Source organism: Homo sapiens, chromosome 1 (genome assembly GCF_000001405.40).
Source record: "Homo sapiens chromosome 1, GRCh38.p14 Primary Assembly".
Classification (NCBI taxonomy): Eukaryota; Metazoa; Chordata; class Mammalia; order Primates; family Hominidae; genus Homo; species Homo sapiens.
Window position 1 is genome coordinate 92,942,865 of NC_000001.11, and position 12,471 is coordinate 92,955,335.

At 38.3% G+C, this 12,471-nt stretch overlaps 1 protein-coding gene across 4 annotated transcripts in view, besides 4 other annotated features; it reads right to left on the reverse strand.

Annotated features, from left to right (window-relative positions):
• Nucleotides 1-12,471, reverse strand: part of DIPK1A (divergent protein kinase domain 1A) — a 128,734-nt gene that overhangs the window by 110,136 nt on the left and 6,127 nt on the right. The gene's annotated exons all lie outside the window — the stretch shown is intronic.
• Nucleotides 7,004-7,063: an enhancer, noted in NCBI's record as "active region_1321". NCBI's record gives its function as "activates an Ori minimal core promoter by ATAC-STARR-seq in GM12878 lymphoblastoid cells {active_cell/tissue: GM12878}" and the evidence as "EXISTENCE:reporter gene assay evidence [ECO:0000049][PMID:35858748]".
• Nucleotides 7,048-7,342: a silencer, noted in NCBI's record as "tiled region #12717; K562 Repressive DNase matched - State 7:EnhWF". NCBI's record gives its function as "represses a minimal TATA promoter and a strong SV40 promoter by Sharpr-MPRA in K562 cells {active_cell/tissue: K562}" and the evidence as "EXISTENCE:reporter gene assay evidence [ECO:0000049][PMID:27701403]".
• Nucleotides 8,469-8,558: an enhancer, noted in NCBI's record as "active region_1322". NCBI's record gives its function as "activates an Ori minimal core promoter by ATAC-STARR-seq in GM12878 lymphoblastoid cells {active_cell/tissue: GM12878}" and the evidence as "EXISTENCE:reporter gene assay evidence [ECO:0000049][PMID:35858748]".
• Nucleotides 11,644-11,827: a silencer, noted in NCBI's record as "fragment chr1:93420065-93420248 (GRCh37/hg19 assembly coordinates)". NCBI's record gives its function as "represses an EF-1alpha promoter that drives an FKBP-Casp9 reporter gene in an ReSE screen in K562 erythroleukemia cells {active_cell/tissue: K562}" and the evidence as "EXISTENCE:reporter gene assay evidence [ECO:0000049][PMID:32094911]".

The window sequence follows — 12,471 nt, forward strand, 5'->3', positions numbered from 1 at the left end:
ATGTTGGTCAGGCTGGTCTCGAACTCCTGACCTCATGATTCGCCCGCCTCGGCCTCCCAAAGTGTTGGGAATACAGGCCTGGGCCACTGCGCCCAGCTAATTTGTTAATTATGTAATGCTTAAATAGACACTGCAGTCATGAAGATAAATAGGGTAGGTAAATATTAGAAAACAGATGCTGCAGTTTAAAATTCACATCAGGACTTTCAGTTTAAGATGGTAGACTAAAGATACATGTTTGCTACTTACAGCTTGCAAAACCACACTCAAATAAGGAAGGCAAAAGAAGCAATAAATCTCTAACAGCTGAAAGAAACAAAGAAAGAAAGAAAAGTAGGAAATTCACCAGCGGATAAAAGATCCAACACATTTCTAGTTTCAAAAAGCAAATGGAATTGTGTTGATGGATGAGGCAGGCAGAGAAAGCCACAGCCCAGAATACTCTACCAGGCAACCTAAAAGGAGCTGGAAGCCAAACTGCTTCTTGGAATGCTAGAGGGAATCTAGAGAGCCAATCTGTCAGTTGGAACACCTGATGGCTCTGGGCTCCGAGCCAACAGGTACAAGGGAGGGCAGGAGTGAGAAGTGAGGTTGAAGACGGTGGGAATAATTGAAGATCTGTACCTGGAACTGCACTGGTTGGCACCCCCAACCACCTCCCCCACCCCACAGAGATCATAGGCAGCCTAGCATTAACCCTTACTCGAAAAACCAGATAGCTGAAAGAACAAACTGCAGAAAGCCAAGGCTTCTAGTGTGGGTATGTATAGTCCAACAAGAGTAAAGTACTCCGCTGGCACGAGGGACCCCAGAGCCCAGCATAGGCTCAACCTAGAGCAAACAGGCCAGCCAAGGCATCCCATCCTACATACAGGGCTCAGTCAGGCATCCATTCCGGTGATAGGTCTAATGGGAAAACAGACTAACTTTTAAAACAGCAGAGGAAAGCCACACCAGTTACCTAGTCCTTCTTTCTAAAATATGAACAGACAACCAACAATCACCAAGCACATGAGAAAGTCCAGCAGCATGAAAAAGAAGAGCTAAGATAAACATATAGAAAATAAAATCTCTGAAAGGAATGAAGACAATTACAGAGCATAAGAAAACATTAAAAAATAAAATTGTTATAATCAAAATACTGAAGAGGATGGTGCATCCACATAAACTATGAATAGGAAACCATAAAAAGAAACAAATAACTTTTAAATTAAATATAAGATCCTTAGAGTTTAAAAAGTGGTTAGAAAAGGAAAGAAAATCAACAAACGATCTGGAAAATAAAATTGAGAAACTCAACAATGAAAGTACATGAATAAAAGATAAAAATAATAGAGAAGCTAGAAAAGACATAAAGAACCAATCCAATAGCTCCACCATTTGACTAGGAAGAGCTCTAGAAGGAAGAAACAGAGGAAAAAGAAGGGAGAAACTATTCAACAAATAATATAATTTCCCAGAGCTGAGAAAGGATCCAAGTCTTAAGATTCAAAGGGCTCAGTGAGTACCCATACAACTGATAAAAGAACCCTATTTATACATTTTCTCTGGAAACTTCAAAATAAAAATATAAAACAGAGATCCTGAACAGGAAAAACAGGTCACCCACAAAGGATTGATAATCAAACTAGCTTCTTGTCAGCAACAGGGGATATCAGAAGTCAAAGCAGCTGCATCTGCAAATTTTCTGAGAAGATTATTTTTGGCCCAGAATTCTACACTGAGCCCAACTACGAACAAGTACCAGGGTACAATAAAGGCAGTTTTTGTTTTGTTTTGTTTTTCTGAGACAAGGTCTCACTCTGTCACCCAGGCTGGAGTGCAGTGGTGCGATCTTGGCTCACTGCAGCTTCCACCTCCTGGGTTCACGGGATTCTTCCACCTTAGCCTCCCAAGTAGCTGGGAGCACAGCTAATTTTTGTATTAGGATCACTTGAACCCAGGAATTTGAGACCAGCCTGGGCAACATGGCAAAACCCCACAGGCTGGCTGAAACTCCTGGGCTCAAGTGATCCTCCTGCTTTGCGCTCCTAAAGTGCTGGGATCACAGGGGTGAGCCACTGTGCCTGGCCAAAGACAGTTTTAGACATGAAAGCACTCGAAAAGTTTACTTCCCACACATCCTTGCCAAAGAAGAAGATGGCACAGATTAGGACAAGGAAAGACTTAGGGTCCTGAGAACAGTGACACCAACCAATGAGAAGAAGAGAGGGAAATCCTAGGAAGCCAGTTGTGTAGTAGGCCTAGAAAAGCATCCGGTCACCATGGGAACGCAAGCATGGAGGAGGGAGGTTTCTGGTAAGAAGAAAAAAAAGAAGGATTTCACCACAGAATATGAAATATAAGTGAGAGTACAGAAAAAATAAGGCTATGATAAAGGAAGATGGTGCCAGAAAAAGAAGGCAATTAGAAACTCCCTGCAAAAATTTTTAAAAAGGAAGGAAAAAAGACAAATAGCATTAAAAAGCTACATTTCAAACAGGAAACAAGCTTGTATGTACCCTGATTACAAGGAACTGATAGAGTGTGAGAAAAGAGGATCCAGTTACTATTAATGTTGAAGTTTTGAGAGCCCAGGGTCATTACCCTGGCCCCAGCAAGAAGAAAAAGTAGTCCTAACATAGAGTTGGCTCTGCACTAAATAATATTTATAGAATCATATTTTAGGGGGTACTAAAATTAGAAATGTCTTTCATCTTAGGCAAGAACTAACTTTGATGTATTTGGTCTCAAGACATAAACTTCAGGATCCTAAGAGAAAGAGTGGCCAAAAGTATCTCACTCCTTTTCTATTTTCTATAAACACAGAATCAAATGATACCTAGTTCCTTCCTGCAATTAACTCCCTGAAGGTGAGAGTCATTTTCATTATTTGAATGGTCCAGAACTCCAGAAGAAGCTCAGTTCACTTGGATTTGGGGAGCGGATGACAGAAGAAATGTCCACTTTCTGCAGCTAAGTGTAACCAGGTAATTATTGCAAAAGACAAATACTGCATATTGACTGTTCAGGGGAGAAACTGTGGCCGATGGACAGTGATTTCAAATCATAATTCTGTTACTTCATTAGGGATCCCAAAGGCTAGGTTTTAATTATTATTTTTTAATAGAAACGTCAAAAAGCAAACAAGCATGATTTCTAAATACAAGGGACTTTTTAATAGGGAATTTACAAACATCACATGTTCTTTTCCCTATTGGCAGAAATATGGTCTAGCTTCTGGGAAGGGACAAATCCTTGTAGTAATGTGCTAAATAACAAGGGGCAATTGTTGAGGTCTGTTAATTCTACGTGCTTCCTATAATAAAAGGAAAATAACTATAAGCTGCAGACAATGGGTTTCAGGTTTATAAGGGAGATTTTCCTTTATGGAAGAATTAACAAGTCATAATAATATAATATTATTTATAGTTCTCATATTCAAAATTCAACTTATATGGAGACTTGGTTGTATAAAAGGAAAAAATATAAATGTTATCAACTTTGGCAGTGTAAAATTAAAAGTAGCTGACAGAAAGTGGGAAGTAGAAGAGAGGAAAAAACAGGTAGAAAAAGGAGCACATGTTCTCATGTCCCTTCTAAAAAAGGGGAGAGTCAAGAAAGACTGTCAAAAGCGGATAAAATAAGAAACAGTTGTTATTTCTGAGGTTACCAAGTTAAGCAACAGAATAAGTTAAATTAAAATTACAACTATCAAACAATGGAGAGGGATAATGATGTGAGAAAACTAAATATTCATTTTTTAACACCAAGTTAGCAAATATTAACTAAACTTGATAAATCAAGAAACAGAGGTAGGCTGGGCCCGATGGCTCATGCCTGTAGTCCCAGTACTTTGGGGGCTGAGGCAGGCAGATTGCTTGAGCCCAGGAGTTTGAGATCAGCCTGGGCAACATGGTGAAACCCTGCCTCTATAAAAAAATACAAAAATTGGCCAAGCCTGGTGGCACTTGTCTATGGTCCCAACTACTTGGGAGGCTGAGGTGGGAGGATCTCCCGAGCCTGCGATGTTGAAGCGGCAGTGAGCTGAGACTGTGCCACTGTACTCCAGCCTGGGTGACAGAGTGAGACCCTGTCTCAAAAAAAAAAAAAAAAAACCACACAGACATAAAAGTCTATTATGTAGAGCAGTGATCTCCAAATTTTTTTGATAATGCAATCCTTTCAGGAAAATAGTAATAAGCACAAATCCCTGATATAATTATATTTAGTTATTTCTATTCTATGTAAAACTACGACTATACTCATCTATTATATGTATATAGTAACTTACACAAAAATAAAAGTTTTAAGTATGTAAGAATAATTTTGAATGCATTTTTCAAGGCGGGGAAATACTTATAATAATACATCAAAATACAGAAAATCATCAGTTATTCTTATACAAAAATAAACATTTTAAGATATTTTTTAAAAGTATATAAGCTGGGCAAATGATCTGAACAGACATTTCTCAAAAGAAGACATACAAATGGTCAAAACAAGGATAAGAAAATCATCAGGGAAATGCAAATCAAAACTACAATGAGCTATCATCTCACCCCAGTTAGAATGGCTATTACCAAAAAGACAAAAAATAACAAATACTGGCAAAGATGCAGAGAAAAGGGAACTCTTATACACAGTTGGTGGGAATATAAATTAGTACAGCCATTATGGGAAAGATTATGGAGGTTCTTCAAAAAAACTACAAACAGAATTACCATATAATGCAGCAATCCCACTACTGGGTATTTATCCAAAGGAAAGGAAATCAGTATGGAGAGACAGCTGTACTTCCATGTTTACTGCAGCATGATTCACAATAGCCAAGATAGGGAATCAATCAAAGTAATGGAATACTATTCAGCCACAGAAAACAATGAAATCTTGTCTTTCACGGCAATATGGATGAGCCTGCAGGACAGTATGTTAAGTGAAACAAGCCAGGCGCAGCAAGATAAATACCACATGTTTTCACTCATATGTGGAAACTAAAACAGTTGATCTCATAGAAATAGATAGTAGAATGGTGGTTACCAGAGGTAGGAAAAGGTACGGGGGACAGAGGAATAGCTAAAGATTGGTTAACCGACACAAAAGTGCAGCTAGATAGGAGGAATAAGTTCTAGTATTCTACAGCACTGTAGAGTGACTCTAGTTAACAATAATTTATTGCATATTTTCAAATAGCTAGGAGAGGATTTTGTATGTTCCCAGTTTAAAGAAATGATAAAAGTTTAAGGGGATAGACGTGCTAATTATCCTGATTTGATCATTATACTTACATGGAGACTTGGTTGTACAATAGGAAAAAATATAAATGTTATCAACTTTGGCAGTATAAAAGTAAAAGTGTAGCTGACAGAAAGTGGGAGGGACATTCCAAGGCAAAGAGGAAAGGTAGGGTAGACATGTTGACACATGAGACAGCATGTTGTCTGGAAAACTGGAAGTTTTTCAGGATTGCTAGAGCAAATGGTACATGAGGTGGTGGTGGCAGGAATGGAACATGTATTGAAATATCACATTGTACCCCATAAATATGTACAATTATGTGTCAACTAAAAATAATTTTTAAAAACTTTTTTAAAAAGGTAATTAACTTTTTTCTTTAAAAAATAGAGACGGGTTCTCATTATGTTGCCCAGGCTGGTCTCGAACTCTTGAGCTCAAGTGATCCTCTTGCCTCAGCCTCCCAAAGTGCTGGGATTACAGGCATGAGCCACCACACCCAGCTAAAAGGTAGTTAACTTCATATTCATATATATATATTTATTTTATATTTTTTTGTATTTAATATATATACGTATATATACATATGTGTATATATACATGTATATGTATATATACACATATGTATATACACATATATTTTTTATATTTAATATATATGTATATATACATATATATGTATATATATGTGTGTGTGTGTATATATATATATGTGTGTGTATATATATATATTTTTCCCCCCTGAGGTGGAGTTTCACTCTTGTTGCCCAGGCTGGAGTGCAATGGTGCGATCTTGGCTCACTGCAGCCTCCACCTCCCGGGTTCAAGCGATTCTCCTGCCTCAGCCTCACAAGTAGCTGGGATTACAGATGACCACCACCATACCCGGCTAATTTTTTGTATTTTTAGTAGAGATGGGGTTTCACCATATTGGCCTGGCTGGTCTCGAACTCCTGACCTCAGGTGATCCACCCACTTCAGCCTCTCAAAGTACTGGGATTAGTTAACTTCATTTTTTTAAAGCAGCATACAAATAAAGAACCAACGATTTGACATTCTTCTTACCCACTTCTCTACCCTCCCACTCCCACCCCCAAAATTAGAACTTCACCTTCCTTCAGGAAGTATTTGGGGAACTTAAAAAACTTAATAAAGTTAATATACTTTCCAAAATGTATACAATAAATAAAATTTCAAATAATTCTTTTTTTTTGAGACAGAGTTTCGCTCTTGTTGCCCAGGCTGGAGTGCAATGGCGCAATCTCAGCTCACTGCAACCTCCACCTCCCGGGTTCAAGCAATTCTCCTGCCTCAGCCTTCTGAGTAGCTGAGATTACAGGCACCCACCACCACACCTAGCTAATTTTTTTGTATTTTTAGTAGAGACGGGGTTTTACCATGTTGGCCAGGTTGGTCTCGAACTTCTGACCTCAGGTGATCTACCCACCTCGGCCTCCCAAAGTGCTAGGATTACAAGCATGAGCCACTGTGCCCAGCAATAATTTCTTTCAGTACTCAAATTAAGAATCTTATGAACCTCCCAGGATGTGTACAGTTTTCTTTAGAGATATAGCTATAGAAGTAAGAGGCATAGTAACCAGGAAATCCAAAAATATAAATGGTTAAAGAGAGGCTACCTTTAGGGAATAAAGCTAGGGGCAGGATGAAGTGGAAGGAGAAACATAGTTTGTATCATAAGCTCATCTATACTATTTGACTTGCTGTGTACACATTCTTTCAGATAAGGAATTAGTTTATCTAATCAGTTCTATAAAACTCTGTATCTTTACAATTATGTATGCTGATTCATTTCATTCAACAAATATTTTTTCCTCATCTGCTCTGCCCTAGCCACAAAAGACAGAGAAAACTGACATTTTAGCTCTCAAAGAGATCACAGTCTGGGATGGAAGAAGGATATGGAAACCACTGACAACATTTCAGTCTTCTAAGTGCTTAAGAGAAGAGCATGCCAGGTATCATGCACTCGCAGTTTGGGTCACAGAAGAGGTACACTAATACTGTGGAGTATTAAGGAGGGACTGCTGAAAGGTCACTTCCTCTTTGAGTTGAGACTTAAAGGACAAGTAAAAAAAAGACAATAAACCAGATGAATGGGTATGGAGAGCAAATGGGGAAAGGACATTCTAAGGCAAAGAGGAAAGGTGGGGTGGACACGTTGACACATGAGAGAGAGCATGTTGTCTGGAAACTGGAAGTTTTTCAGGATTGATAGAGCAAATGGTGCACAAGGTGGTAGTGGCAGGAATGGAACGACAATATAGGAAGGGGCAAGAAATGAAGAGCGGTGCTCAGAACTCTGCATAGACTCCTAAAGGCAATGGGAAGCCACTGAAGGATTTCACCAGCAGGAAGGGAGACCTGAACAAATTACTTTGGAAGCAATGTGGAGGATAGATCTGAAAGGGTTAGACTGGGCTATTACAATGGGCCTAATTAGACAAAAGGAGATGTGAATTACAGTAACAGCAGAAGAATGAAGATGAGATGATGCATTCAAAAGTTATTTGGGAGGCGGGAGGATAGCTTGCTTGAGCCTGGGACGACGCTGCAGTGAGCTATGATTGTGCCACTGCACTCCAGTCTAGGAAACAGAGGGAGAGCCTGTCTCAAACAAACAAACAAAAAAGAATAGTGTTTATGGTAAAAACAAGTATTTCCAAATGTAATTGTTAGCAGCTATTTTCATTTTCCTTCCTTTAATAAACATCCAAGACTCCTTTCATAGTTATTGCCAGAAGGATTAATATAATCATAGCTCTCTTATAAAAATCTCTTGCTTTGGTACCACCGTTAAACCTAATACTAATAGGAAAGAAACAAAGTATTTTAAGAAATAATTACTTTTTTTTACTATTAGAATTCAATTATATCTTCCTGTGGAGGCAGAATTCTATAGATATCCACCAACATTTCCACCCTCTGGTTATTTCAAATACTAATCCAAGTACTGCTGTGAAGGAGGGACTTTGCAAGTGGAACTAAGGTTACTACTCAGATGACTTTAAAATAGAGATTATCCTGGATTATCTGAGTGGATCCAACGCAATCATACGAGCTCTTAAAAGCAGAAGAGGAAGGCAGAGGAGTTAGTAAGATGAGGCAGAAGAGGGAGGCAGAGAGATGTGAAACAAAGGACTCCACCCATAGTTGCTGGCTTTGAAGTTGGAGAAAGGGAAACATGAACCATGAACCATGAACCATGAAATGCAGGTGGCCTCTAGAGGCTGAGAACAATCCTCAGCCAGCAGCCAGCAAGGAAATGGAGACTCAGTCCTGCAACCACATGTAACTGAATTCTGACAACTGGAAAGAATCTGGAAGCCGAATCATTCCCAAAACTCTAGAAAGAAACTCAGCCCTGGTGACACTGATTTCAACCTTGTGAAACTTGGAGCAGAGAAACAGCTGAGTCACACTGTGCCCTGACTTCTAAGTTAACAAAACTCTGAGATCAGGGTACAAACAAATGGGCGTTGTTTTAAGCCACTAAATTTGTGGTAATTCGTTACAGGAGCACTGGAAAACTAATACTCTTTATTTAATCACTGACTTCAAATATGCTCTGTCAAATCTCATTTTTCTATTAAGAGATGTAACTTTGAACAGAGTTCATACATTTCCAGTCATACTCAATTACTATAAAATCCAGTCTAATTTACTTTCCCCAAACTAATTTTGAAAATGTTTAAACCTACAGAAAATTTAAAAGACTAATACAATGAATACTCTTATACCCTATACCTACCTATATTTATCAACTGCTAACATTGTTCTAATTTATTTGCCTTTTCACTCTTCCTAAATATACATAAATACTCCCCCGCCCCCCACCCTCTCCTTCTCTGTATCAGGCATTCTAAACTGTAGATGATTTTGCCCCCCAGAGGACAACTTATCATCAGGAAAATGAAATTAAAACTACAATGAAATACCAACTCACACCCATGAGAATGGCCACTCTTTAAAAAAAAAAAAAACACACACAAATGTCTGGAGACATATCTGATAGTCACTACTGGGGGAATGCTACTGATATCTAACGGGTAGAGCCCATGGATGCTGCTAAACATCCTGCAACACCAAGTCCCACACAATTATCCAGCCCAAAATATCAATAATGCTGAGATTAAGAAACCCTGCTTTCTGTATATGTATATACAAACATTTTTTTCCTGAACCATTTGTAAGTAAATTACAGACATTATGATACTTTTTACCCTAAAGGCTTTAGTTTTGGCTGGGCATAGTGGCTCACGCCTGTAATGCCAGGACTTTGGGAGGCCAAGGTGGGCCGACTGCTTGAGCCCAGGAGTTCGAGACCAGCCTGGGCAACATGGTGAAACCTGGTCTCTACAAAAAATACAAAAACTAGCCAGGTGTGGTGGCACAGGCCTGTGGGCCCAGCTATTTGGGAGGCTGAGGTGGGAGATCGCTTGAGCCAGGAAGGCTAGGTTGCAGTGAACCATTGAGCCATGATGACGCCACTGCACTCCAGCCTGGGTAACAAAGCAAGACTTTGCCTGAAAAAAACACTACAGTTTATATTTTCTGAAAACCAGAACACTATCCCATACAGCACAATTTAACATTGATACAATACTACTATCCAATATGTAATCCATTTTCAAATTTCCCCGTAATCTAAAAAAAATCCTTTATGGCTTTTTTTTAAAAAAAAATACAGGATCCAATGAAAGGTACATAGGATGGCAGCCTGATCAACATTCTAGATTTAAAATAAATAAGGAGTCCCAATTTTCAAGCAGTGGGGGACAGGGAGTAAAACTTGTGGCACTAGCTCTAAGATCTAATAATAGTCTATGACTCTGATACTATGCTACATCTGAAATGGATGTACTAATTCAGAAGCTTGTTAATACATTAAAATCTCTCTTGGAAGAATATCTTCAAACATGTTTACCCTGTTCTTAAGAAAGGGGAACTCTGCTCACAATAACACATAACCCTGTTGAATAAATATCAATCTGAAACAACAAATCAAGAAGGAACTTTCTCCAAAGAAGATATACAAATGGCCAAAAAGCATATGAAAAGATGTTCAACACCACTAATCATCAGGAAAGTGAATAAAAACTAAAACAAGGTATCAGCTCACGCCCGTGAGAATGGTCACTCTTAAAAAAAAAAAAAGAAAAGAAGTGCAGACGGGGATGTGGAAAAATTGAAACCCTTGTGTATTGTTGGTGGGAATGTAAAAGGGTAAAGCCACTTTGGAAAACAGTATGAAGGTTGCTAAAAAAATTAAAAATAGAATTACCATGTGATCCAACAATCCCACTTCTGGATATACAAAAAAATTGAAAGCAAGATCTCAAAGAGATATTTGCACTCCCATGTTCATTGTAGTACAATTCACAATAGCCAAGAGGTAGAGGCAACCTAAATGTTCATCGACTAATGAATGGATAAAGGAAATGTGGAATATACATACAATGGAATACTATTCACCTTTAAAAAAGAAGGAAATCCTGTCATAATCTACATGGGTGACATTATGTTAAGTGAAATAAGGCAGTCACAAAAAGACAAATGCTGTGTGATTCCACTTATATGAAGTATAAAGCAGTCTAATGGAAACAGAAAGCAGAATGTGGTCACCAAGGGCCAGGGGCAGGAGGAAATGAGGAGTCGTTCAATGGGTAGAGTTTCGACTTTGCAGGATGAAGAAGTTCTAGAGATCTGCTGCACAGATCTTTGTTGCTGCACAAAGTGCATAAAATAGTTAATACTACTATACTATATGCTTAAAAATGGTTAAGATAGCAAATTTTATGTGCTTTTGACCATAATTTAAAAAAACAAAAAATGAAACAGAAAAAAATAACCACCATTCCATGATCACACCTAAGAAAGATAACTATTTAATTTCATTAAATACCCAATCAACAACAAAAAAGGAATTGCTTATTTTCAAAGATAAATTCATTTACTAATATTTTGGGTTATTAAAACATGCACATTGCAATATCCTGGTTTTCTAAACTCGCATACTTCGTAGATTAAAAAGTTTTAAAGGAAAATTATTTGCAAATGATTTGAACATCTAGAAATGAATATGGCCAGACATAGTAGCTCATACATATAATCCTAGCATTTTGGAAGTCCAAGGTGGGAAGGTGCACTTGAACCCAGGAGTTTGAGACCAGCCTGGGCAACAAAGCAAGACCCTGTCTCACAAAAAAAAAAATAAATAAATAAATAAAAGAAATGGATATGTTAAAAATATTAACACTTTATCTTTTCTTTCTTTTTTTTTTTTTTTTTTTTGTTTTGAGACAGAGTCTCACTCTGTCACCCAGACTGGAGTGCAGTGGCGTGATCTTGGCTCACTGCAACCTCCAACTCCCGGGTTCAAGCTCTCCCACCTCAGCCTCCCAAGTAGCTGGGACTACAGGCACATGCCACCATACCCGGCTATTTTTTGTACTTTTAGTAGAGACAGGGTTTCGCCACATTGGCCAGACTGGTCTCAAACTCCTGACCTCAAGTGATCCACCTGCCTCAGCCTCTCAAAGTGCTGGGATTACAGACGTGAGCCTCCGTGCCCAGCCGACAACACCTTACCTCTTCAATCAGACAATGTAAAATGATGGTATTTAACAGGATGATATAGTGTTGCTTTTAGAAACAACTTTTAAAAATAAAAACAATAAAATGTACCTAACTGCTACAAAAAAAGAAAACTTTCATGGAGAATAAAAAATAATACTATAATCCATCAAGATGAAAAACTGGGGCACTCCACAAAAAAACCTGCACACAGATGTTTATGTAGCAGCCTTATTCATAATTGCCAAATACTGGAAGCAACTAAGATGCCCTTCAGTAAGTGAATGGATAAACTGTGGTACACCCAGACAACGAAATATTATTCAGCGTTAAAAAGAAATGAGCTATTAAGCCATGAAAAGCCATAGAGGAGACGTAAATGCATATTACTAAGTGAAAGAAGCCTATTTGAAAAGGCTACCTAAAATACTACGTGATTCCAACTAGATGACATTTTAGAAAAAGGCAAAACTATGGAGACAATAAAGACCAGTGGCTTTTGGGGGCTCAGTGGGGACAGAAGGATAAATAAGCAGAGCACAGATTTTTAAGGCAGTGAAACTACACTCTATACAATAATGATGGATACATGTCATTATGCATTTATCCAAACACACTGAATGTACAACACAAAGAATGAACTCTAATGTAAAACTATGGACT